This window comes from Homo sapiens, chromosome 11, assembly GCF_000001405.40.
Source record: "Homo sapiens chromosome 11, GRCh38.p14 Primary Assembly".
NCBI lineage: Eukaryota > Metazoa > Chordata > Mammalia > Primates > Hominidae > Homo > Homo sapiens.
In genome coordinates this window covers 134,171,000-134,198,691 of record NC_000011.10, presented here as the reverse complement: position 1 = coordinate 134,198,691, position 27,692 = coordinate 134,171,000, and the positions used below count along the sequence as shown (strand labels likewise).

At 41.5% G+C, this 27,692-nt stretch overlaps 1 protein-coding gene and 1 pseudogene across 5 annotated transcripts in view, besides 2 other annotated features; one reads left to right on the top strand and one right to left on the bottom strand.

Annotated features, from left to right (window-relative positions):
* NCAPD3 (non-SMC condensin II complex subunit D3) overlaps positions 1 to 27,692 on the top strand; it is a 75,349-nt gene that overhangs the window by 26,770 nt on the left and 20,887 nt on the right. For all 5 annotated transcript variants that reach the window (NM_001372070.1, NM_001372069.1, NM_001372065.1 and 2 more), the window contains 11 exons: positions 3,954 to 4,027; positions 4,542 to 4,676; positions 5,783 to 6,003; positions 13,166 to 13,357; positions 13,692 to 13,789; positions 13,940 to 14,055; positions 17,508 to 17,615; positions 19,756 to 19,870; positions 19,951 to 20,058; positions 21,235 to 21,473; positions 22,306 to 22,385. In NM_001372070.1, coding sequence (NP_001358999.1) covers positions 3,954 to 4,027; positions 4,542 to 4,676; positions 5,783 to 6,003; positions 13,166 to 13,357; positions 13,692 to 13,789; positions 13,940 to 14,055; positions 17,508 to 17,615; positions 19,756 to 19,870; positions 19,951 to 20,058; positions 21,235 to 21,473; positions 22,306 to 22,385 — 1,486 coding nt within the window. The remainder of the gene's footprint in view (positions 1 to 3,953; positions 4,028 to 4,541; positions 4,677 to 5,782; positions 6,004 to 13,165; positions 13,358 to 13,691; positions 13,790 to 13,939; positions 14,056 to 17,507; positions 17,616 to 19,755; positions 19,871 to 19,950; positions 20,059 to 21,234; positions 21,474 to 22,305; positions 22,386 to 27,692) is intronic.
* Positions 402 to 602: a silencer, noted in NCBI's record as "peak1520 fragment used in MPRA reporter construct". NCBI's record gives its function as "represses an SCP1 promoter by STARR-seq MPRAs in K562 erythroleukemia cells {active_cell/tissue: K562}" and the evidence as "EXISTENCE:reporter gene assay evidence [ECO:0000049][PMID:32103011]".
* Positions 21,457 to 22,656: an enhancer, noted in NCBI's record as "CDK7 strongly-dependent group 2 enhancer chr11:134045931-134047130 (GRCh37/hg19 assembly coordinates)". NCBI's record gives its function as "activates an origin of replication core promoter dependent on BRD2, BRD4, P300/CBP, MED14 and CDK7 cofactors, with strong dependence on CDK7, by STARR-seq in HCT116 cells {active_cell/tissue: HCT116}" and the evidence as "EXISTENCE:reporter gene assay evidence [ECO:0000049][PMID:35650434]".
* LOC100533644 (zinc finger protein 628 pseudogene) lies at positions 25,008 to 27,083 on the bottom strand (annotated as a pseudogene).

Genomic DNA, 27,692 nt, shown 5'->3' with positions numbered 1-27,692 from the left:
AGAACAAGTCATCTGTAAATAGAGGTAGTTCTACTTCTTCCTCTCCAATCTGGATATCTTTCATTTCTTTTTCTTACCTATTTGTTGACAGAAAGAGTCAAGCTCTGTAAAATATTTGAAGACATTTATTCTGAGCCAAATGTGAGTGACCATGGCCCGTGACACAGCCCTCAGGAGGTCCTGAGAACATGTGCCCAAGGTGGTTGGGTGCAGCTTGGTTTTATACACTTTAGGGAGGCATCAGACATCAATCAGATACGTTTAATAGATACATTGGTTTGGTCCCAAAAGGCAGGGACAAGGTGGGGAGGGTTCCAGCTTATAGGTAGATTTTAAATTTTTCTTGTTGAAAATTGGCTGAGTTTGTCTAAAGAACTGGGTTCAATAGGAAGGAATGTCTGGGTTAAGATAAAGGGTGGTGGAGACTAAAGTTCATTACTGCAGAGGAAGCCTTCAGATAGTAGGCTTCAGAGAGAATAGATTGTAAACGTTTCTTATCAGACTTAAAGACTGTGTTGATGTTAATGCTGGAGGGTATAATGAGGCATGTCTGACCCCCACATCCCGTCATGGTCTGAACCAGTCTTCAGGTTAAATTTTAGAGTGCCCTGGCTGAGGAGGAAGTCCATTCAGATGGTTGGAGAGCCTTAGAATTTTATTTTTGGTTTACAGTCTGTGGAATGATGTTGAAAAGAAGTCAAAGAGTAGACTTCTTTGTCTTTTTTCTTTACTTAGGGGGAAAGCTTTTGGTCTTCACCGCTGAGTACGACGTTAGCTGTGAGGTTTTTAGTATGACTTTCATCAATATGAGGAAGTTTCCTTCCATTTCAAGCTTGCTGAGTTTTTATCATGGAAAGGTGTTGGAATTTGCAAATGCTTTCTCTGCATCTATTTTGAGATGATTGTGTGGTTTTCTTTGTTCTGTTACCATGCTGTAATTTACATTGATTGATTTTTCACAGGTTGACATTTCATTCCTGGGATAAATCCCAAGCATGGTTGTATCTTGCTGGATTTGGTTTGCTGGTATTTTGTTGAGAATTTTGGTGTCATATTCATAAGGAATATTGGTCTGTTGTATTAAGCCATTCTTGCATTGCTATAAAGAAATACGTGGCCAGGCGTGGTGGCTCATGCTTGTAATCCCAGCACTTTGGGAGGCCAAGGCGGATGGATTACTTGAGGTCAGGAGTTCGAGACCAGTCTGGCCAACATGGTGAAACCCCATCTCTACCAAAAATACAAAAATTAGCTGGGCATGGTGGCAGGTGCCTGTAATCTCAGCTACTTAGGAGGCTGAGGCAGGAGAATCACTTGAACCTGGGAGGTAGAGGTTGCAGTGAGCCAATATCATGCGACTGCACTCCATCCTGGGCAGCAGAGTGAGACTCTGTCTCAAAAAAAAAAAAAAAAAAAAAGATGTGAGACTGGGTAATTTATCAGAAAAGAGATTTAATTGGTTCATGGTTCTGCAGGCTGTACAGAAAGTATAGCACTGGCATCTGTTTCTGGGGAGGCTTTAGGAAGCTTAGAATCATAGCAGAAAGCCAAAAGGGAACAGGCGTTTCACATGGTGGGAGCAGGAGAAAGAGTCAGGGGGAAGGTGCCACACACTTTTAAATGACCAGATCTCACAAGAACTCACTCAGTATTGCTGTCCTGAAGACAGCACCAAGCTGCGAGGGATCTGCCACAGTGATCCAAACACCCCTACCAGGCCCCGCCTCCAGCACTGGGTGTTACAGTTCAACATGAGGTTTGGGTGGGGACAAATACTCAAACTATATCCGTTGTTTTCTTGAGATGTTTTGGTTTTGCTATCAGGGTAGTACTCACCTAAGATGAGCTGGAAAGTGTATTCTTTTCTATTTTTTGAAAGAGTTCATGAAGGATTGTTGTTCATTTTTGCTTTAACATTTGTTAGAATTCTCCACTAAGTGTCTGGTCCTTAGGAAGGGGTGTGTGTGTATGTGTGTGTGTAAAGTATTTTTGATTACTAATTTAGTTTCTTTTTCTTTCTTTTCTTTTCTTTTTTTTTTTTTTTTTGAGATGGAGTTTCGCTGTTGTTGTCCAGGCTGGAGTGCAATGGCACAGTCTTGGCTCACTGCAACCTCTGCCTCCCAGCTCAAGCAAATCTCCTGCCTCAGCCTCCTGAGTATCTGGGACTACAAGCACCCGCCCCCACACCCGGCAAATTTTTTTGTATTTTTTGTAGAGATAGGGTTTCACCATGTTGGTCAGGCTGGTCTTGAACTCCTGACCTCAGGTGATCCACCCACCTCGGCCTCCCAAAGAGCTGGCATTACAGGCGTGAGCCACCGCGCCTGGCCACTAATTTAGTTTCTTTACTCGTTACAGGTATATTCAGATTTTCTATTTCTGTTTGAGTCAGTTTCTGTAGTTTGTGTCTTTCTAAAACTTGTCGTTCTAAAAATTTGTTTCTTTTATGTAGGCTACTTAATTTGTTGGCATAAAATTGTTCATAGTATTCCTTTGTAATCCTTTTTATTTATGTAAGGCTAATAGTAGTAATGTCCCTCCTTTCTTGATTTTAGCAATTTCAATTTTCTTTCTTATTTTCTTCGCCAGTCTAGCTAAAGGTGTATTAGTTTTGTTGATCTTATCAAGGAACCTACTTTTAGTTTCATTGATTTTTCTCTATTGTTTTCCATCTTTTATTTTTTAAGCTGCCTTCTTATATATAAGCAGTTCCCAAAGTGTGTTTTGGGAACCCTCAGGGGTCCTTGAAGTAAAAATGAGTGCAGTGTTCATTTGCCTTCCACACTCTGATTTCCTCACGAATGTATATTGGAGTTTTCCAGTGGTCCCATGACTTATCAAATTGCAACAGATTGCAGGTAGAAACAGAGATGAGAATCCTGTTTAATATAAGCCAGATGAGAGATAAGCTGGCTTATATTAAGCCAGACATTTTAAAGTTTGCAAAACTCTAAAACAATGCCATTCTTTTTTTTTAAAATCGGGTCTTGGTGTGTTGCCCAGGCTGGACTCGAACTCCTGGGCTCAGTTGATCCTCTGATCTCAGTCTCCCCAGTAGCTGGGATTATAGGCACATTCCACCACATCCAGCCTTTTCACTATTTTTAGTTTATTTGTTTTGGAAAATATAGTTATTTTTTATGAAAAAGTACTAACAGTAACATATCTTGCTCTTTTAAAATGAATTAATAAATATTTTTACAATTCTCAGTTTAAATTTCTGATTCTAAGTATTAAAAGATATAATCTCTTTAGGGTCCTCAGTAATTTTTAAGAATATAAAGAAGCCTCAAGGCTGGGCGTGGTAGCTCACTCCTATAATTTCACTGCTTTGGGAGGCTGAGTTGGGAGGATCACTTGAGGCTAGGAGTTCGAGACCAGCCTGAGCAACACAGCAAGGTCCTGTCTCTACAGAAAAATAAAAAAAAATTAGCATGGTGGCTCATGCCTGTATTCCTAGCTACTTGGGAGGCTGAGGAGAGAGGATTACTTGAGCCCAGGAATTTGAGATTGCGGTGAGCTATGATTGTACCACTGTACACCACCCTGGGTGACAGAATGAGACCCCTGTCTCTTATAAAAAAATGTCTTCAAGTCAAACATTTTAAAGCTGCTGTTATATATTACCTCATCAAATCTTTAAAATAATCCTATGGGTTAGATACTCCTATTTGTAGCTAAACAAAATGGAAGAGATAAATAATTCATTCACAATTTTAGAGGTAGGGGCTGAGATTTAAAACCAAATTTTTAATATTCCAAAGTTTATATGCATTACAGTGAATACCTAATTATTCACATTTTCTTCTTTTTCCACACTCTCATTTCTTAGGATTTAAAACAAGCTAATGAGTCTTTAAGATGAGTGTATTTTCTGGGTATTGTGTGGTGAAATGTTAGCTGCTGTGTGACTTTTCTCCAGCTGTGATGACCCTTTGGTATTCCCTCTACAGAAAGATGTGTCATGGCAATGCTGAGAAGGAGGATCAGGGATGAGAAGACCAACGTTAGGAAGTCTGCACTGCAGGTGGGAGTTTTCTCTGCACATTTTTTTTTTTAAGCACTAAAAACTTGGAAATGCAAAGGAATATTTTTTAAACTCTTAGGCCATATTCATTACTTAATTTGCTTTTCGCCTAACTGTTAGTTGACCCTGATCCTGTTGTATATGAATCATAGACGAACTGGAAGATTTTTTATTTTTAAGCTTTCCTACAGGGTTTCTGATTTTTTTAAGAACCACAAATTTATATCCTGAATTTGTTTAGAATAGGGATTCTTAACCTAGGGACCATGGGTGGATTTTAATAGGTTCATAAAATAGTTTGTAAATATTTGTTTATATAAAATTTGTTTTTCTCTGAGAGAGGCCTTAGCAAATTGGATTCTGAAAAATGGGATGTTGTGAGGAGGAAGGTTGGATCCATGACCCCAAAATGTTAAGAACCACAAACTTAAAGGAAGTGTTCCTTTGTTAACAGTTTATCTTTGTGAGTTGATGCTATGCAGTTAACAGTTCATGTTGCGTCTATGCCTTCTAGGTATTAGTGAGTATTTTGAAACACTGTGATGTCTCAGGCATGAAGGAAGACCTGTGGATTCTGCAGGACCAGTGTCGGGACCCTGCAGTGTCTGTCCGGAAGCAGGCCCTCCAGTCTCTTACTGAACTCCTTATGGTGAGAGGCAGGACATTATATATGTAATGCATGGTATTTTACATTAAAAGTAATTCCACACAATAATTACCTGCTGCTAAACGTTAAGTTGACCTTTAAAAACTCTACTAAGTCCACTGTAGAACTGTACAATGTAAGGGAGGAGGTATTTTTGAATTATGTGTGATAGACTGTGCTTCCTATTAAACATAATTAGGAACTAATGCTAGAGAATGCCAATTGTTAGCCCTTTCTTCACTTTATTGTTATTATTATTATTTTTGAGACAGAGTCCTGCTCTGTTTCTCAGGCTTAGAGTGCAGTGGCACAATCTCAGCTCACTGCAACTTCTGCCTCTCAGGTTCAAGCAACTCTCCTGCCTCAGCCTCCTGTGTAGCTGGGACTACAGGCAGGTGCTGCCATGCCTGGCTAATTTTTGTATTTTTAGTAGAGACAGGGTTTCACTATGTTGGCCAGGCTGGTCTTGAACTCCTGACCTCAGGTGACCCGCCTGCCTTGGCCTCCCAAAGTGCTGGGATTACAGGCATGAGTGACTGCACCCGGCCCTTTTCTTCACTTTAAATCTCACACAGAAAAATAAAATTTAAAATTGATTTGGTTAAGCTAGAGGCCTAGATTAAATTTAGTCAATTAGGGCATAGATAGATGATATTGCCAAAAAAGCAGACTCACAAGTACTATATTTAATTTACTTTTGTTTACTAGTTAGCATTTTAGTCAAAGAATTTTAGAAGTATGTTTATTTCTTTATTTCATAATAGAAGGCATTAAGCAATGCATATTTTGACTTTTTCTGTCAGCATCTGTTCTAATTGCTCTTTGGGATATTTATTATTTGCTCTTGATTTTTAATGACCAAAAAAGTACTGATTTACTAGTAGCTACTAGTAAAATAGTGACTTTAATGTATGAGTTTAAAATTTTGGTTTGCAGTGATTTACATTAAGCTGGCTTTGCTTTTGTATATTTTTTGAATTTTTTTCTTTTTTCACTCTATGGTCTATTTGCAGTTGAAGGTGTGATTATTTTTAACATCTCAAAATGTTGATCACAACTTCCCTGACTTGTATTTAGACCTTCTCATGTCATAATCTTTCACTCCTAAGGCTCAGCCTAGATGCGTGCAGATCCAGAAAGCCTGGTTGCGGGGGGTGGTCCCGGTGGTGATGGACTGCGAGAGCACTGTGCAGGAGAAGGCCCTGGAGTTCCTGGACCAGCTGCTGCTGCAGAACATCCGGCATCACAGTCATTTTCACTCTGGGGACGACAGCCAGGTCCTCGCCTGGGCGCTTCTTACTCTCCTCACCACCGAAAGCCAGGAACTGAGGTAGGTTAACTGTATGACCTGTGTTCCCTATAGAAGAAGGCCGTAGGACTTTGTATTAATAAATTTCTCCTATTGGTCCTCGAAAAATCAGCTTTCCAGATTACTTAGTGTATGTGAAGATTAAGTATTGGTCTCTCTTTCCCTGACTGACTTCCAATCTCTTAGATATTTTTATCGCCTGTATGTTTGTGACACCTGTTTGGTCACTTCCTTTGCATCTGTCTGACGCTTTCCAGTTTCAGATTTTGGTGTCTTCATATGTAGTAGACAACACTGATGGAGATACATATTAATATCACCTTTCCCCAATACTGGTTATCACGAAGGATGACTTCCTAGCTCCTGCAAGTTAAACTGTTTTTAACACCTCATTGGATTAATTGACTTAACTAACACTGCAGGCTTTTTCCCCTTTGATAACACTTATTGAACATACACTGTACAGTGAATATTGTAGTTAGGAGTTAGGATCTGTGATGGAGGAATCATCATGCGGTAGAAAGAAAATAGATTTAGTATCAAAAAATACCATTCTGCAGCCTTGGCAAAAATCACTTTCTCTGAGCCTTAGTTTCCTGATTTGTAAGAGCAGCCGTTGTACTCTAGGATCTCTTCATGGTTTTCTCAGTACAGGTTGAGCATCCGTAATCCAAAAATCTAAAATCCAAACATGCTCTGGAAGCTGAAACTTTCTGAATGTCAGCATGATGCCACAAGTGGAAAATCTCACACCTGACCGCATGAGACGGGTCACAGTGAGAATGCAGGCTCACAGCATACAGTCTGTTCAGCATCCGCAGGCGAAAAATAAAATCACCTTCCGGCTGTGCATACAAGGTGTATATGAGACTTTGGTTCCATCCCCAAGATATCTCATTAAGTATATGCAGATATTCCAGAATCCAAAACACTTCTGGTCCCAAGCATTTCAGATGAGTGATACTCAACCTCTACCCACCCTATGCTTTCCTGAGATTTCTAGAATGGAGAGATTTAGCTAATAATAGAGTCTACTGCTTTTTCACTTTTCTTAGAGATACCTCCTTATGCATGCTCTATGTATTAATTCATGTTAATGTAATGAAAGGTAGTAGTCATTCTTTGCAAAAAAGCAGGAGAGGCCTTCTACAGCTCCTGAGAAGCTGTTGGGAGGTTTTAAAATTTATTTTTCTTTATAAAAACTTTTGTATTGAAGTATAGCATGTCTAGAAAAGTACACAAACCATAAGGTCAGTAAATATCACAAAGAGAGTATGCCTGTGTAACCACCATGCAATCTCTGTTTATCATTGTAGGTGATAGCCACCTCTGCCCAAGTTGGCTAATACTTGAAAAAAAGTGGCCCAGAACTCACGTGCTGCACATTTTCTGAAATTACTCTTGACTTCTGATTTCATGGCAACTCTTCTTATTTTCCAGTGTTGCTTAAAATTTTGTCTTATTTTTGGTATTCATTTATTTCAGAGGTCTTTAAGGAGACATTAAAACAAACAAACAAACATGGGCTCATTATTAAACCTGGAATCAGGTTGTGGATGAAACTGCTTAAGGAGATTATAAAATGAGTAAGAAAAAATGCAAGTTTAGAAGAGGAACCTTGCAGAAGATGTGCATTGAAGGCTTCAGCAGAGGAAGATAGCCATGTCAAAAGAATTCAGAAGTATGGAGAAGTAGAGGAATAACTAGGAGAAAATTATTCAAATGGAAACAGGGAGTGAGGATTTCAAGCGAAGCAAGTAGTCGACAATTCTAAATGTCTCAAAAACATTTCAAACAAAACTTGTTCACATCAAGTTAGAATCTTGCACCCAACCAGATTATTCAACATACAGGGTAAAATAAAGCCATATTGAGACGAGCAGAAAACCAAGGGTGTTTATCGCCACCACCTCTCCACTAAAGGGCCATCTATGAGGGATGTACTTCAGGCCAGGCTATATTCCCAGCACTCTGGGAGGCTGAGGCAGGAGAACTGCTTAAGACCAGGAGTTTGAGATCATCCCTGGCAATGTGGTGAGACCTTGTCTCTACAAAAAAAGCCATTTGTGGTGGCGCACGCCTGTAGTCCCAGCTACTTGGGAGGCTGTGGTGGGATGATCGCTTCAGCCCAGGAGGTGGAGGCTGCAGTGAGCCGTAATTGCACCACTGCACTCCAGCCTGGGCGACAGAGCAAGACCTCATCTCAAAAAAATAAAAAGGATGTACTTCAGAAGGATGGAAGCTGAATTCAGAAGGGAGGAATGAGAAGGAAAAGTTGCTAAGAAATCGATAAACACATAGATAAATCTAAATTAAGCATAGCCATTAAAAATCAGTAACAACAATGATATGAGGATGATTAACTGAGATGACTGAAAGCAAGGTGAAGCTAAAATATAAAAAAGTATGTAGGATGAGCTGGAGGGTGCATTTACTTGCATTTCTAGCATTGGATAGGAGGAGATTAGAGATGCTGATTGGCATTAAACTCGAGTTAACACTGCAGACAACCAGGGATAGTCGTATGTAACTTCTGAGCCAGTAGAACAGAAGTAACACTGAAGAAAGTTCAGTGCAAGAAAACGCAGAACAGAAGTGAGGTTAAAAAATGAGAAGGAAATAAAAAGCATGGTATATCGAAATCATAAAATAAAAGGGTGAATTAATCCAATAGGTCAGTAATCTCTATAAATGTAAATGACTTCCATTTAATAGTTAGTGGACAAAATCTTTGGATATAAAAACCAAAATCCAACTACATACTGTTTATAAGAGCCACACCTAAAATAAAATTACCAGAAATGCTGAAAGTAAGAAAAAGGTTACTAGAAAAATAATGCAAAAAGAAGGCCGTATCAAATAGAATAGAATTTAAAATAGAGTCAAATAGAATTTAACGGAAAATGTCATCAGTTGTAAAGAAAGTTACTTATAATGATAAAGGAATTATACCTGGAAGAGTTATGTGTTCCTAAAGGATATGTATAAAACCCCATGCCCAATAAGCACACATTTCTAAGCTTATGTGAACCATTTATAAAAATTGATTATGTACAACTTCAGAGTCAATCTTAAATATCAACAATTCTGTATTAATAGGATAATGTTCTCTGAGCATTATACAATAAGTAGTAGAGGAAAACCTCAAAAAAGAGCATTTGAAGAATTAAAAAAGATACTTCTAAATAACTCGAAGGTCAAAGACCAGTGAATTGGAAGATTTTTGGAACTGAATACGTGCCAAAACTTGTAGAATGCATTTAATGGAGTACTTAGAAGGAAATGTGTAACGTTAAATGTGTATTAGAAAAGGAAAAGGACTGAAAACTGATGAGCTAAAGGTTCAATTTAAGAAGTTACGAAAAGTCTTTGAATAAACTTGAGGAAAAGAAATGCTAAAATTTAGAAATTTAAAAACTGGGAAAGAAAAACAGTCTTCAAAAAGCCTAATGGAAAAGATAAACTTCTGCCGAGATATGACAAGAAAAAAGGTACAAATAAATAATATTAATGATGAAATGGGTGATACAACTACAAATGTCTTGTTCAGTATACATTCAGAAACAGAGTATTCAGAATGTATTAGTATTTTTTAAAGGGCACAGTTCTATATAGGCATTTTTTAGTCTAAAATTTTAATTGATACAGCTCTTTGTATTAATTTGCCAGGGCCACCATAACAAAACACCACAGAGTAGGTGGCTTGAACAACAGAAATTTATTTTCTCACAGTTCTGGAAGGTAGAAATTTGAGATCATGGTGCCAGGAGAGTGGGTTTCTCCTGAGGCTTCTCTCCTTGGCTGTGACCTCATGCACATCCCTGGTGTCTCATTCTGTGTCCGCATTTCTTCTTATAAGGATACCCTTTGTGTCCGGAATTTATTCCTTCTGGTGGGTTCTTGGTCTCGCTGACTTCAAGAATAAAGCCGCAGACCTTCGCGATGCATGTTACAGCTCTTAAAGATGGTGTGTCCAGAGTTTGTTCCTTCAGATGTTCGGATGTGCCTGGAGTTTCTTCCCTCTGGTGGGTTCGTGGTCTCGCTGACTTCAGGAGTGAGGCCGCAGACCTTCGTAGTGAGTGTTACAGCTCTTAAAGGTGGCACATCCGGAGTTGTTTGTTCCTCCTGGTGGGTTTGTCATCTCACTGACTTCAGGAATGAAGCCGCAGACCCTTGCGGTGTTACAGTTCATAAAGGCAGTGTGGACCCAAAGAGTGAGCAGCAGTAAGATTTACTGTGAAGAGCGAAAGAACAAAGCTTCCACAGCGTGCAAGGGGACCCGAGCGGGTTGCTGCTGCTGGCTCGGGTGGCCAGCTTTTATTCCCTTATTTGGCCCCGCCCATGTCCTGCTAATTGGTCCATTTTACAGAGTGCTGATTGGTGCATTTACAATCCTGTAGCTAGACACAGCATGCTGATTGGTACGTTTTTACAGAGTGCTGATTGGTACATTTACAATCCTTTAGCTAGACACGGAGTGCTGATTGGTGTGTTTTTACAGAGTGCTAATTGGTGCATTTATAATCCTTTAGCTGGGCACAGAGTGCTGATTGGTGCATTTACAATCCTTTAGCTAGACACAGAGTGCTGATTGGTGTGCTTACAATCCTCTAGCTAGACAGAAAAGTTCTCCATGTCCCCACTTGACCCAGGAAGTCCAACTGGCTTCACCTCTCACCTTGAGCTTGGGTTAGGGCCGACCCTAACAGCCACGTTTTAACTTCATCACCTCTGTAAAGGCCCTATAGGAGGGAATGGTAGAGGTGATGAAAGCTGAGCCTGAGGTTTGGAGGAGTTGGAAGAGGAAATATTTTATTCAACTGAACAAACATATTTTGAGGACTTCATTTTCCAGGACTGGTTCTAAGTGCTGGAGATTCACAGAATAGTTCAGTGCACTTCCTCTCCTCCAGTTGCTCTTGGTCTAGTGAAATAGACAAAAGCAAGTCACAATTTTAGTGGAAAGGGAGCTACAGGAGAACAGAGGAAGGGCACCTGGCATTTTGGTGATTATTTCTTCCTCTTTGTCCTCTTTCTTTCTTCTTCTGGCTTAGGGTGGCTTCCCAGAAGTAGTGGCGTGGGTAGAATATTTGGGAATGTGTAGGAATTCAGCAGCCAGAGTAGTAAGGGTTACCAGAAAGGAAATAGTCATGCAAAAGCTCAGAGGCCAGAAGGCTCTATGAAATCTCAGGAAAATGCCTGAATCAATTGCTGTTGACTGAGGTGTGGAGAGCAGAAGTCGGGCAGGTTGAGGACAGAGGGAGTGCTGGAGATGGAAGCCCAGCTTCAACTTGAATGCTTTGTCACACCTCAGTTGGGAGCTCTTGGTAATGCATGAGGTCACCCAGAGTTAGGTTGGAGATAAGAGGACTAAGAATAGAGCTTTTCAAATCAGCAATTAGTTATTAGAAGACAGGAATTAGTTACAGGAGATGAAAAGAGATCCAACTGGTGGACCAGAGTCTCAGCGCAAGAGTAGTCAGTAACCTCTGGTGGAGGCCATGGAGACGGGCCTGAAGCATGGCCGTTGGTTTTGGTACTAAGATAGAAGTTAGTGTGTTGGGTCACAGTCTGCCCAGGTGGGGAATGGCTGTGGCCCTCAGCTGGGCTGGGAGGCTGGCTGGGAGTGGAGGGCTGGGAGTTGTCAAAGAGGAGCCAAGTTTGAGATTTCTGCAAGTTCAGAGGATTTTTTCCCAATTCTGTTGGCTACATATAATAAACATTACTTAATATTTTATATCGTTATTTTTAAATAAATTTAAAAATACTTGTTCATTGCTTATATCTTGTGGTATTTGGACATAAATCAGACATAAATCATGTTGTAAGCTAACTGTAGTAAGACTTGACATCTGTGGATGGATTTTTAATCAATAGCTGATATATTAGCAAAACTTCATTTATATGCATATGCTTATTATGGTATATAGATGTGTTTATTTTGTTACAGTTACCTTATTCTGTATGTTTTGAGAATTTCCCTTCTAAAAACAGTTTAATGAGGAATTCCTGATGTTCGCGTGTGGGTATGTATGTGTATGTGTTTTCCCAGAAGTCTAAGAAAAATTAATCAAGGGAAGAAGTGTATTTTTCTCTTCATTTAAATATATAATATGGCATTGTCTCATGAATCATATGATCCCATTCAGTGACTTGGGAAGAAGTAAAATAAGAGATAGTTCTAAAACAACAGTGACAGCCAGGCACAGTGGCTCACAACTATAATCTCAGTACTTTGGAAGGCCAAGACAGGAGGATGGCTTGAGCCCAGAAGTTCAAGACCAGTCTAGACAACATAGTGAGACCCTGTCTCAAGAAAGACAGACAAAGAGAGAGAGAGAGAAATTAGCCAGGTATGGTGACCATGCCTGTAGTCTCAGCTACTCTGGAGGCTGAGGGAAGAGGATTGATTGAACCCAGGAGGTGGAGGCTACACAGAGAGCTGTGATCATACTACTGTGATCCAGCCTGGGTGACAGAGTGAGACCCTGTCTCAAAAACTAGTAATATAACACAAACACTTTAGTACATCAGAAGCATTGTTTTTTATTTTGAAAAGGTTTGAAATATCTATTTCTGAGTGGTATTAAGTTATTGCATATTTTAGCTCATTTAATATCATCATATTTAATTGTTAGGTTGTCATTTACAATCCTGCCATGTAGTCCCAGCTACTCGGGAGGCTGAGGCAGGAGAATGGTGTGAACCCGGGAGGTGGAGCTTGCAGTGAGCCGAGATCGCGCCATTGCACTCCAGCCTGGGCGACAGAGCGAGACTCCATCTCAAGAAAAAAAAAAAAAAAAGGACAATGTTACTAATTTTTGTCACTATAACTGTGTAAGCTCTGGATGTATCTGTAACTGACCCCATGCAGTTATGTAGAAATTTTGGAGGGGAGGAGGATAAGAAGAGTCTGAAATGAATTGTGAAATTTTATTCTTTACTTTAAGGAATATTTTATGAGGGGAAAAATGAATATAACTGATAGTAGAATAATAAAAATTTAAAAGATACCTAGTTTGGTATCAGACACGCCACTAATTAGGAACGTCTACATATAAGTTTCATGTGCCACTTGAGTCCTGGAGCAGCAGAAGTTGATACCCTTTCAGTGAGGCTCCCATCTGAATCATTTTGTATATTTACAGTTGCAATTCTGCTTTTCTATCTTTTTTTTTTCCAGCCGATATTTAAATAAGGCTTTTCATATCTGGTCCAAGAAAGAAAAATTCTCACCCACTTTTATAAACAATGTAATATCTCACACTGGCACGGAACATTCGGCACCTGCCTGGATGCTGCTCTCCAAGATTGCTGGCTCCTCACCCAGGCTGGACTACAGCAGAATAATACAATCTTGGGAGAAAATCAGCAGGTTTGTATCTTCTAATTTAACCAGTAATGACACTGAAGAGTCTTAGAAACAAAGCCCAAGACTTAAGGAAGTGAGCTTTTTCATAGCTATTCATATACAGAGACCTTCTGTTTAAAACCTGGTATAAAAACAAGCATGAAAAAAATAAGAATCATGTTTCACCCATTTCCCCTTTGTCCAAGTACATTAAATGCCTTGATGTTCCCACAGCTTGACTCCTAAGCCATGCTACCTACCCTGCTTCCTCCAGTGTTATTAATCCAGAAGAAAGGCCTTTGTTGGCAGCAGTGTTTAACTTGCTTCTCCCTTCATATTCCTCCTGCCCTTTCTCTAGTCAGCAGAATCCCAATTCAAACACCTTAGGACATATTCTCTGTGTGATTGGGCATATTGCAAAGCATCTTCCTAAGAGCACCCGGGACAAAGTGACTGGTGAGTGTCTGCTGGAGAATCTTATGTGAAAATGCATTGCTGTTCATTTCAGGTGTGTGTGTGTGTGTGTGTGTGTGTGTGTGTGTGTGTGTATATATACCTGAATATATTTAAGCAGTTGAACTTCAGGGGTTTTGACTTCCTTCATAGATGCTGTCAAGTGTAAGCTGAATGGATTTCAGTGGTCTCTAGAGGTGATCAGTTCAGCTGTTGACGCCTTGCAGAGGCTTTGTAGAGCATCTGCAGAGACACCAGCAGAGGAGCAGGTATGGCCAGACTTTCCCTGACATGTTTCTGACTTCTTTGAGCTTAGGATGTTACTGTATGTGTTTTGAAGTGTGAGGAGCATTCTCTATAAATAAGAGGACGTGTAAGGATGTCCCCCGCAGCTATTGCCGCAACAAGGCAAGGTTTACATAACTAGCAATTGACATTCCCCAAGAAGATTTAGCTGCCTAAGAGACACGGCACCCTTAGATGGTCACCACCTTGATCGCAGGTGCGAGTGTCTTTAGGTAAGCATTCCTGTTGATTGTCATTTCCTGGTGAGAATTCTGCAAGGTTCTCTTTCTCCTTGACTTCCACTCTCATTCCAAGAACACTTATAGACAATTTTCCACTTAAGCAGGAAGTTCCCTCCAGAACAGGTTTCTGACCTTCTGATAAGTCATAATCTTGGACATGCCTGTCCTGTTACTATGAGGTTACACTACTCAAATATCTCTTGTTGGTATCGTGTCCCCACAGTTGCCTATAGCCCACAGCTAGTGTTTTTATATAAACAGAAATCCACATCAGTGATTTATGGGAGGCAGAGAGGTACTTTGACTCCTTAAAAGGTATGCATACCAGTAACTGAAGAAATAATTTTATTACCATATATTTATTCTGTTTTTATCATGAGATATACTCTTAGTACCAATCATAATGAAAAAATGTAGAGCTGGGGTTATTAATAATGGCTATAGAAAACAAAAATTAAATAATTGCTGGGATATATTTAAGTTTTCCAGAATAAAAGAAAATGATGGCTTCAGCTGATCTCCCCAACTACCTTCCTGTGTTTCCTTTTCTTGACCAAGTTCATTAGAGAAAGCCCTTCCTTAAGATGTTACATTTTCTACTTCTAACAGATCAACTAAAACAATGATTGTAACTTTTTTGCTTGGGACTTAAGACTGTTGACCTATTTCTTATGAAATGGTGCCTGGTGTTTTTCTGGTATCTATCTTTAAGCTGTTTTATTGATGAAAGGGATACTTGCATTATTTGATTTTTCTAACCCTTTATCTCAAGACCCAAGAAATTATATGACAAACTTTTATTTTTATTTTTGAGATGGAGTCTCACTCTGTCACCCAGGCTAGAGTACAGTGGCGCAATCTCAGCTCACTGTAACCTCCGCCTCCCAGGTTCAAGCAATTCTCGTGCCTCAGCCTCCCGAGTAGCTGGGATTACAGGCACATGCTATCAGGCCCAGCTAATTTTTGTATTTTTAGTAGAGACAGGGTTTCACCATGTTGGCCAGGCTGGTCTCAAACTCCTGATCTCAAGTGATCGCCTGCTTCAGCCTCCCAAAGTGCTGGGATTACAGGCGTGGTAAGACTGAGGAAAGAGTGATCAGGAGGAATTAACGTTACAGACTATGAAACCACAAGCCTTCCAGGCTCAGTGGTACACAACTTACTACCGGCAGAGCTGGGACTAGAACTAAGGCCTCTGACTTTTTCCTAATTTTCTTTTCACCAGCACTGGTTGGAAAAAGAATCATGTGTACAGCGCGCAGTCAGGGCCTAGGAAGTCATCTGCCGCTTGCTGCTGGCCCAGGGCCATTAGGACGGTGGTTACATTGTCATGAGAGCCTATGAGGAAGGCAAGAACTGTCTTCAGGTTAGACACTGAGAGCTGGAAGCGGGTGGGGCTTACTACTGCATTAGCAAAGACCGCCACGGTTTTAATCTGCCGACACAACCTCACTTGGTGGTTGACAGAGGAGCAAGGCCCTGAGATTGTCTGGAATGTTAGGATATTTTCAATCCATGTGACCCGCTTGTTTCCCCTAAACACGCTTCTCCTTTTCTTTTCTCTGTAAGTGAATATCATTTATTTTACTGAGAGCAACAGATTACCCAAAGATATAGCTCAGCAGCAGTATATATGAAAGGACTGTGGTCTTTGGGCATTTTTGTTATCTGTTTTGTGACTGTCATTAAAAAATTGATGAGATCTTGTATCAGTAGAAATAGTGTCTAGAACAAGAGGAGCAGTGATCCTGTGTGCTGGCTGATAGTTCAGTATCAGTGACAAATTTACAGAGAAGTGTTGATGAAATTGAATATAACTAGAGGAGAGCAGTTAAATAAGGGTATCACAAAGCAAGTTATGTAAGGAACTGCAGAAGGGCCTGGAGTCTTTAGCATGGAGAAGGGAAGGGTTGGGGACGGTAGGCTGCCTAGCTAAATTCAAATTTATGAAGGACTTTCAGATAAAAGAATTGGATTTATTTGGTATTCCCAGACAACCTATCTGGACCAATGAATGGAAATTATAAATTTTGGTGAACTGCAGAGAAAACTTACTGAGGTCTGCCCAAAATGGTGGGCTTGCCCCAGAGCATGTCCCCTGTTATTGGAGGTATTCAGGAGAAGCTGGACAAGGACTTGGAACAGGCTGCCATGTGGAGAGAATGCCAGGATTGGGTGGCCTTGTCAGCTTTCCCAGATTCTGTGATACCGAAACTTACTAGTCCTAGTACCCAGGTTCTGGCCTCATTGGGATCAAGCATAAGAATTGCAGAAACTCTTTGGGCCAATGTTGTGGTCCAGGTTGTGCAATCTATTAAAATTTTAAATGTAATAGTTCTTTTAGAAGTAATAAAGCCAATAGTTTCCAGATACGTTAGGGCAAGTCAGACTAAAAGCATTGCTCATAGTGGTGGCTTGCCAGGCACTGGATGATGGTTAACACAGGTCCCTTCCTAAGGCACTACAGAGGAGTGGGGGAGGTGCGTGCACATCAGCAGATAATTTCAACATAATGTCATCATTCCTAAAATAAAAGTCGGCATCGGGTAACATGGAAGCAAGGGGGTGGAGGCCCTTAGCTCAACCTAGGTGTTTTGGAATGGTTTCCTACAGAAAATGAGGTCCAAGAATTCTAGAATGTGGTTGGGAGCTCTCTCTCTTCCTTGGCATAGAGGAACAGTCCAATGTGCACTAGAAGTCACCCCTTGAAGTTATTGTAATCAGTGAGAGACACGGAACACTTGTCCCTAATGCATAAATTTCAGAAGAGTAGCAACTCTATTTTATGTCTTTAAAAAATGTTTATCACAGTAGTTAATTCATCATCTGTATATGGCAGCAAAACTACAGCTTATTTCTGTATTTTTGGAGGAGCACTACTATTATAGATCTCTTACAAATTACTACATGGGGTCATTGTAAATATTTGGCCTTTTGCTCTTATAGGGCAAATGTAAAAAGAAAGATGATATATACACCGTTCTTTATAAATTCCACTTAGCCAGTACTCATGGCTAGATTGCTTAAATGCATGTCATTGTGGTTTTGGACAAATTGTGGGAAAGAGGAAAGCTAGGAAGCACCCCTACAGCCTATCCATTTGAAGATCATAGTTTCTTCTGAGAACATGGTGTTTCATGGGTAGTCTGGGAGATGTGCGGGGCCCTTCAGAGATGACTTTTGACTTGCCGTAGGAATTGCTGACGCAGGTGTGTGGGGATGTACTCTCCACCTGCGAGCACCGCCTCTCCAACATCGTTCTCAAGGAGAATGGAACAGGGAATATGGACGAAGACCTGTTGGTAAGCGACTGCTTTTCCTAACCATTCTTTTCGCTTCCATTTTATCCGTGAGGTTCTATTAAAGATGACTTTGTCATGTACGCTTTAAATGCTTTTAACAAAAGAGCTGTCTTAGCCTAGAGCTTACTTTCTCTTTTTAGAAGATATTTTTAAATTGATAACCTATTCATTTTTTTCTTATATACTTTTTATCGGTGGGGAAACTCAATGGTATACGCTTCATCTAGTTCAGTCTTATGAGAAGCCTGATTTCAGTAGGGAAAACACAGTATGTGTTGTAAGGTTGGTATAGTCAAGCTTAGAAATGTAAGGTAAGAAATAATAATGTGAGTATAGTGTTTTTGGTTTGTGTGTTTGCTTTTTTAAAAATTTAACATGTCTTCTGAGCTATTTGAACATCAGACAGTAGAACTGGGGAACAGTGCTGAGCAATTGCCAAGTAATGACTGAAATAAAATGAGAGATTTGACAATTCAGAACACAGATGACCTTGGAGCCCCAAGATTGTTTTCTGTGGCACCCCTGCTTTAGAAACTGTAAACGGTGCAAGAAATTCCCGTGAGCCAGGACGGGACAGTGGGCTGATTTCAGTGGCTGACTGGGGATAAGATGTATGGCAGTAATTCTGGTTCCAACATCTGACTTTGTCCAGTAAAGGAAATAATGAGCTGCTTTTTGATGCCATTCAGCACAGATCATTATTTAACCAAAACGGGCCATTTTTCTCATATGTTTAAATTAGTGGAGCACGTCTTTTCTGTGTTCAGTTTCTGCTTGTTGGCCTAGCTCTCCTAACGCCCAGTGATCACCGACCAAGCTTAGATTTGTTCAAAGAGAAGACCATTGAGCCTGAGGCACTACTGTGCACGTGATCAGGAATACAGAGCCTCACTATGGGAACCTGGGTGCTTTAGGTAAGAGCACCAGGGAGTGTAGCACAGGCTTGGCCCAGGGCTTCTAGAGGGTCTTGCTCTTCTCATTTCTGCCCACATTAAGAAAGATGCTTACTATGGTCAGTGAGTCTTGTCCCCACCCCTCCTCCCCCAGGTTTTTTTCAACTGTTAACCGTGTCATCAAAATCTACTCTTCAGTCAAAATATATATGGAGAGGTTTTGCCCTATATACATAGTTTCATTCTTGCTTCTTTAAATAGAACTTAAATATTTTTTTAATGAAGAGATACAGTATTTCAAGATTCTTTTAAACTCATATACTTTGTTATTGGCTTTCTTACCCTAGAATAAGCTTTTATTTGACATTTTACTATTCAGCATCATCCCTTCATTTGGGGTGTAAATAAAAAAAGAACAATATTACTTAGTTGTTAAACTGAATGTTATGAAGAAACACAGCATGGCAGCTGTGAGTAGGTTTTTGATGGGGTCTACATAGAAAAATAATCTGGAGGGCAACTTGAAAATGTGTTTCAAAATGTGAAATAGCTTTATATACTCTTTACCTTGGATTTTACTTCTGAGGAAAGAGAGCAGTATCTAAGGATACACAGGTGTTCACCAGAGCTAATCGAAACATTAGCAAAGGGAAACAGCATCAGTGTTCATTGATACTGGAATAGTGCAGTAAGTTATGACGACAGTCCTAGTTTTGAAATGGCATATACTTATGTAGTCATTAAACATATGTGTCATACATATTGACATGAAACGATGCCTAATATTCAAAGTAATCATTGCAGACTTCAAAATACTATACTTGGTAAGTGTATAAGAAAAGTAAACATAAAGCCACGTGACTATAGAAATACTTTGAAAAAGTTATACACAAAAACAATAATGGTGTCTCTGGGTGGTAGGGTTATAGGTAGATGTATCCCAGTTTACCCAAGATAACCCTAGCGTACACCTATTTTCACAAAATAATTATTAATAGCACCCCCTTTTACTTGCAGATGTGTCTAGATTTAGATGATAAAATTATATGCTTGCCCTAATTTTGGATGAGTTTCATTACATAGTGACTAAGTTTTTACAATAGCCATGTATTTTTATGAAACGAAAACTAGTAACATTGTTTTAAATTTGGGGGATAAAGGAAATACTCCATTGACATGTCCTTAATCTAGCTAGAGTTCACTTTTCTTTTGCCTTATTTTTACTGTAAAACCAATTATCTTTGTAGGTGAAGTACATTTTTACCTTAGGGGATATAGCCCAGCTGTGTCCAGCCAGGGTGGAGAAGCGCATCTTCCTTCTGATTCAGTCCGTCCTGGCTTCGTCTGCTGATGCTGACCACTGTAAGGCATTTGAAATCATACTCTGTAGCACGCATGCCGTTTCAAGGTTCTGTCGGTAACTTTCTCTCCCTTCTTTGCAGCACCATCATCTCAAGGCAGCAGTGAGGCCCCAGCGTCTCAGCCACCCCCCCAGGTCAGAGGTTCTGTCATGCCCTCTGTGATTAGAGCACATGCCATCATTACCTTAGGTAAGAAAAACATGGGAGAATGGGGCTTGACATCGTTCTGTGTGTAGCTGTTGTCTTAAGTAAGCCCAGCCATGGGACTGTGTCAGGGGCTGCGGAGCCTGTCTGTGTCTGCTCTCAGCCATGTGGTTCCTAGAGGTGGCTCTGATCTGAGTGCTGAGCTCTGCATAACTGCGTGCTGGTCATGAGAGCCCTCAGGCTGATAAGTCCTCAAGACTAAGGTACTCTCTAGAGGGTCTAGAGGGAGCTTTTGTTTTTCAGTAGGGTTATGTTAATTTATTACAATTATACCTGTTTCTGTAATTTTTTTTCAATACCTTCACTTGACTTGAATATTCCTGTAATATTTTAATATTCATAATGCAGCCCCACGAAGTCTGTTCTGTGCCGGGCACTGCACTGAGTTCTGGAAATGAAGAAATAAATTTTCCATAAAAGGAAATGGTTTATTTAGTACTTTCCAGAATTGGCTAGATGACTATTTACATATTTCTCCATGAACTCAAATTATTTTTAATCTTGAAAACACTGACCTCTGTGCTGGAAATTGTATTTTGTTTTTTTGTTTTTTTATTTTTCCTTTAGTGTGAGTGTATATTTCATGCTACCTAAGTTATTAATTTTTTTGTAATATTAGTTATTTTTCAAATACCTAAGAATTGCAAAACATTTCCCAGGCACAAAAGAAACATACAAACAAAACTCAGCAGCCTTTTCAACTATGAACAAGAAAGAAAGAAAGAAAGAAAGAAAGGGGACATGCATTCTTTCCTATTTACCCAGCTCAGATTTCAAATTCAGCATGGGTATTTAGCATCTGTAGAGGATATGTATAATCAGGAGTAAAATGTTTCACCTCTCAGGCTTTGCTGATCATTTTCCAGGTAAGGGGATAACTGCGAAATTCAAATGTTGACTTTAAAAGGAAGATGATTTTATTAGTGTAAAGGAACATCCCATAGTATATAACTCCTGGGGAGTTTATTTCTCCTTAGGTATTTTTATTCGACTATTCAAGATGGGTCTGTCTGCCTTTAGTTTTTTGTTGTTTGTGATTGTGGGCATGATGTTTTAACTTTGATGAAATAGAAGCCATTAGCAAGATGTATCTGGAGAAAATTTAGGAATGGAATTAGGATTTAGAATACAGTTGAGACATCTTCCTGTCTTCTGTGCCAGGTAAGCTGTGCTTACAGCACGAGGATCTGGCAAAGAAGAGCATCCCAGCCCTGGTGCGAGAGCTCGAGGTGTGTGAGGACGTGGCTGTCCGCAACAACGTCATCATTGTAATGTGCGATCTCTGCATTCGCTACACCATCATGGTGGACAAGTATATTCCCAACATCTCCATGTGTCTGAAGGATTCCGACCCATTCATCCGGAAGCAGACACTCATCTTGCTTACCAATCTCTTGCAGGTGCGTAGGGGGGTTCAATCTGTCCTTTCCCCTTCACCATTGCTTCTGGTTTAAGGGAATATTTGAGTAGCATAGGAAATGTGCTTGCTTTGTAGTAGAATCCAAAAATAATTGTCTCATCTCTGGTCTGGAGTTTTACTCTTCTGATGTTTAGCACAACCTTCTAAACGGCGTTACTTGTGAATGTTCATTTTGGGACTTTGTTCAGACATCCTGTCAAGCAGTGAGAAGTTTCATTTTGAAAATAAGTACCATGTAGAGAAAAGCATATTCAGTAGACAAGTAGTTCTAGTTTGAATTCTGTTATTCTTTTTTAACTTGGACAAGTCCACATTTCTGAGAGGTAACTTCTTCCTTCGTCAAATGGGGATCATGGTGTTCGCGCTGGGCTCTGCAAGTCCAGTGGGACGTTTCCGTGTGCGGAAAAACCTAGTGAACTATAGAGCTCTGCAGAGCGTTAGATATTTTTATACACACTGAGAGCCCATGTTTGGCCTATAATGGGGAGAACACCTTTCACTTAGGTTGTATGTCTGTCCTGGTATGTTCTGTATGCTCATCTTTTCATGTATTACGAACCGTATTATAAATAGAGGGTGGCACCATCCCTCTAATGCCATGTGCTTTGAGTCATTTTTCTCCTGTGGTAGAAGGGTGATGTTGTTCTGCACATACACTTCTCGGCACTACATTCCGACGGTTTGGAAGTGTGTGCCTGTGCACTCAGCCAGTGTGCCGGGGACAGACCGCGTGGTGGGTGGGGTGTGGCTGGGAACAGTGAGGCTTGCCCATGATGACGCACTCTGAAACATGCCGGCTTCTCTCTGCACAGGAGGAATTTGTGAAATGGAAGGGCTCCCTGTTCTTCCGATTTGTCAGCACTCTGATCGATTCACACCCAGACATTGCCAGGTAAATCTTTTCCTCACGTCAGACGACTCAACAGTTTACCTCATTTCTGATGTATGCTGGATTTCTTTTTTTTTCAGATTGGTTTAGAGTTAAGTAGGATTTAGTGAGCTTTCGGTAGGTGCCAGGAAAATTAGCAGATTTTTAAGATGCTAAGCAATATAACAAACCTTTGTTTTGCACACAAGTTTAAAAGAAAATGGTTAGATTCATCATTGAATAATCTCAGCATTGACTGCACTTGCTGACAGTGTTTGCTGTTCCTGAAGGAGCTTGAAGAATATTATATGCTTGCTGTATTACACTGTATAGAGTAGCAGCCACTAGAAACTCACTGTTAATTTCTAGGCAAAAAAAAAAAAAAGTTAATTTTGATAAAGAGCTGAGACTTTAATTGCAGAAATTTTAAGGAGGAAACTAGGAATTAAGATGAAATTGCACAATGTGGAATCAAGTGTACAGATGACAAGACTCCTTGGAAATGGGCATTTCTTCAGACTTCTGTGGCGTGGGGGAGTGACTTTGGCAATTATTAATTTCTATCCTTGCATCTTTTTTTTTAAAGATTTTTTTCAAGGGGTTGAGAAATGGTCTGATAGAATTTGCTACCCTAGAGTTTGTTGTAACAGTAATTCTTTTTCAAGCAAGTCTGCAGTTGGAAAGTAGAATGCTGAATGCCATAGCAAAAGCCCCACAGTGGGGAAGAGGTCTTTACAGAGCTCATTAACTATAAATGGCTGCTAACAGTGGGTCCCTCTGGATCTAAATATAGCCACCAATAATTTACCCTGAGTTCCGTGGAAGTTTCTGCTCAGTTTTCTTTAGGTGTGATTTTCCAAGGAGGGGAACATTTCACATAACAAACCAGTAAAACTAACATTCTACTTACTGCTTTCTAGAACCAGAGGCAAAAAGCTAAGGCTGTCACCTTTTTTTAGATAGCTTCACACACCCTCTTACCTTCACAACGTGTCCACTATACTGACTCTCAGGACTTTTTACGCAGTACGTGGCCCAGGAGAAGGTGTAATCAGACAGGCTGGGAATGCTTTCAGATGATGCACCTGGGAGGTAAAATCGGTTACTTAACCTGCATTTCCTCATTTTTCCCCGCTGTTGTTAGCCCCTATATGTGTATGTGAAAAAGAGCAATGATCAATGAGTAAACTGTATGTGGGATTTGTACATATGGGTGTTCAGATCATCAATCAAATGAAGAGCATAGATATACTTTACCGTGTAGTAAGATTACCAGGGCCTCTTCTAGCATTTTAACACTTCCCCCTTAATCTATCCCTTTTATGTCCGCATCCTGGGTTTGTTGAAACCATGGTTCAAATGTAGACCATGATTTTCAGCTTTGAAAAGCTGATGACTACATTTGCTAACTGTAATTTAAGTTAGTCTGTTCTCTGGAAATTTTCCTTTTCTTTTTATTTGACGTGTAATAATTATACATATTTATGGGACAGAGAGTGATGTTTTGATACATGTATAGAGCATGCAATGATCAAATCGGGATAATTAGCAGAACCATCACCTCAAACATTTATCATTTCTTTGTGTCAGGAACTTTCAAAATCCTCTCCCTAGCTTTTTGAAAATAGACAGTAAATTGTTGTTATTATATTCAACCTACAGTGCTGTTGAGCATTTTCCTGTACTCCTCCTGTAATTTTATATGTGCTAATCAGCCTTTCTGTACCCTTCCCAGCCTCCGATAACCACAATTCTTCTCTCTGCTTCTGTGACCCTCCCTTTTTTTAACTCTTACATATGAGTGAGAGTGTGTGGTGTGTATATATATATGTATATATATATGTATCTTTCTGTGCCTGACTTTTGATTTTTAGGCCAAAGGCTACGCCTATCTGCTATGTTAGATACTGTTTTTTTTGTTTGCTTTTTTTTTTTTTTTTTTTTTTTTGAGACAGGGTCTCATTCTGTTGCTCAGGCTGAAGTACAGTGGTACAGTCATGGCTCCCTGCAGCCTCGACCTCCTGGGCTCAAGTGATCCTCCCACCTCGGCCTCCCAGATAACTCGGACTACAGGTGCATGCCACCATACTCGGCTAGTTTTTGTACTTTTTTGTAGAGACACGTTTTTGCCAGGCTGGTCTCCAACTCCTGGGCTCAGGCAATCTACCCACCTCGGCCTTCCAAAGTGTGGGAATTACAGGCTTGAGTCACCACAGCAGGCAATACGTTTTTTCGTGTGTTTCTGCTAATGCAGATCTTAGGAAGAGACTATGGTGGCAGAGCCTATTGAATTTTTTATGACTTTTTTTTTCTTAGAGGTTCTGGGTTTTGTTTTTGTTTTGTTTTTTTGTTTGTTTTCTTTTTTTTTTTGAGATGGAGTCTTGTTCTGTCGCCCAGGCTGGAGTGCAATGGCATGATCTCGGCTCACTGCAGCCTCCGACTCCCTGGTTCAAGCGATTCTCCTGCCTCAGCCTCCCGAGTAGCTGGGATCACAGGCGTGCGCCACCACGCCCGGCTAATTTGAGGTTCTGGGTCTTTATTAGTGAGCCCAGCCTGTAGTCCCCTCCACCCCGGCCCACACAAAGCAGACAGTGAGTTGGGGTCTCTGTGCGGGGTGGGAAAAGGTACCAGTGGCTCTCTTCAAGGTGTGTGCACCAGCTGGACTTCAGATAGAGTCTAGACAATCTGAATGGAGGGCAGTCCCTGCATCAGGGTCTGCCCTCCATCCAGGTCGAATGAGGAGCCCTGTGCAGGCAGAGGCTAGGCCAGGTGGCAGTGGGGCCAGGGGCTGCAGCATGGTGGGGCCGCCCCAGTGCTGCTATCCTCCAGCAGCTCAGTAGCTGGGGTGCTGCGGATGATGAGGAGTTTCTGTCCGGGTGGGCCAGGGGCAGGTAGCACGGACAGCTCTGGGGGAAGGCTTTCTACCTCTTGCACACAGAACCAGGTCTGCTCCCCATCAGCCTCACTCAGCAGCACATGCTCTGCAAGCCTTCATCCATCTGTGGTATCTCAAAGAGGACATCCTGGACCACACCTGTGCTGTCCCCACCATCCCCCGCCTCCCTGGGATCTGGGGCTTTGAGCACCTCCTCAGCAGCCCCCTACTGAACAGCTATGAGGTTGGGGGCCTCAGTAGTCACAGCTCCTCCACGGAGAGCTGTTGGCCACAGGCTGCATCTGGACGATGGTCACTTCTGAGGCTGGCCACAGGGGCTAGAGCTGGACCCCACTCATTCCTGCAGCCCTGCCTCCCCATCACCCACATTCTGTAGAATGAGGCTCTGCCCTCCCCTGCAGGTCCTTGCACTGCCTGCCCGCTCTGTGTGACTTTTTTTTTTTTTTTTTTTTTTTTTTGAGACAGGGTCTTGCTCTGTTGCCCAGGCTGGAGTGCAATGGAGCAATCAGGGCTCAATCAAGTTCATGTGACCCTCCCACCTCATCCTCCCAAATAGTTAGCTAATGTTTTATTTTTTGTAGCATTAGGTTCTCACGATGCTGCTCCTGAGCTCAAGCAATCTTCTCACCTCAGCCTCCCAAAGTGCTGGGATTGGGCGTGAGCCACCACCCCGGCCTGTATGACATTTTTAATCGCTGGTATAAACCCCAAATTTGGAGGCTACAGAATTCTATGATCTGTCTTCCTGTCTGCCCGATAGGTGGTGGCCTTGTAATCACAGGGCAACAGCCAAGTACTAAGCAGATTATTGTAGTTTAACTGGGCACTGCGGGCACTGCCACAGGAGTGTAGAGAGGCAGGGCCAGAAGCTCAAGGCAGGACAGCGCCTCAAATAATGGACCATTGAGATAGAAAAGGGGGCAACAACAAGGATGGCCTGGTTTGGGAGAAAAGGAAGCAAGCACGCGACTATCTGGAGGCCTTAGTGAAGCCATGGAACAATCGGAATGGGGTGAGGGAGTCAGGAGCCAGACCACTGGAAGGATCAGCAGGGTAGTCATCAGTTGATCTCCAGTGTGGCAACAGGGTCCACGACGTGGCTGCACTGGTGACATTGGGTCCAGATGGGATGGTCACTGGAAACAATGAAGTCAGGAAAGCAGAAAGTTAGGGCATTCAGTAGCTCATCTGCATGGGGAGTCCTGCGGGGATTTGGAATGGAGAGCAAAACTGGGAACCAGGTAGCAGAGAGCGCAAGAGGCAGATGGTGGGAGCACCACGGGGAGGTGGAGGTGGAGGCGTCTTAACAGCAGCCAGCCCACACTCTCCGCACTTCACTGGACCCACTTCCAGCTGTCTTCCAGTGTCAGAACACTTTTGGCAACACACTATCTGGTCCACACGCTATGTGTAGGTTTCCTGAGGGGCATGAGTTTGGTTTTGTTGTTCCGCATCCCTAGAAAAGGAACACGAAACCAAGCAGACATGCCGTGAACATTTGGTGGGTGAAGGCAGGAAGGCACTGGGGGTCCGGGAAATGTGCTCCTCATCCTCTGACTGAGGGATGAAGCAGCCTCCCCTTGGGAGGGCTGAGAGAGAACTGCTGTGTTTGGAGGACAGCCGGCCCACATTTATGAAGGGGAAGCATAGGGAGTGCCCTGAGAGTTGGCTGTGGAGGGTAGGGCCTGATTCACCGTGGAACCTGGAGTGCAGAGTACATGGAGGAAGGAAGCAGCAATGCAGGGATGACCAGGGTCTAGACAGACCATCACAGGCGCTTGGATTTGGGGTGGTGGCCAGGGAGAACTAGGGTGTAGGAAATACTGCTTCAAGCCTCAGGTAGAATTCTGGTATAAATGGGTCTGAGCCCCAGTCCTAACCTGAGATAGATGTGTTGTAGGCCAGGTCAGGAACATGAGTTCAGCATGAACTCTTGAGTCTGCCTTTATTGAGCAGACACCCTGTTTCAGAATGGCATTCAGCTCATGAAGAAATCTGAAGTCAGATTTTTATGTTTCCTACTAAAGCTGAAAACAGAAGTGGACACATGGCTCTTACCTTGTGGCCTTTTGGGCTGTTTGAATATCCTGGATTTCGATTCTTAGTGAGAGAGTAATAACTTCTTTTTACAAGGCTGTAATAAGGTAATCACTCAGATTTAGCTGGTCTTCCCTTTGTGTTCCATATAATTCGTGCAGCTCGTGCTGTGTGAAATCCATAGACCGCATCCCTGAGTTGGTGGTGTGGGTATGTGCGTTCCTAGTGGTGGTCCTGAGGGCTGGGGAGAGGATGCTGAACGAGCTCCCAGCTTACTAAGATTTCTTGAGAATCCTGGAGGTTTCCTAATCCACATACCTAGAGAGTGCTGCCTCTTGTCACTCTAAAGGAATGTTCTAGGAAGCATTACTTGGAATGTTAATTTCTCCTAACTTTTC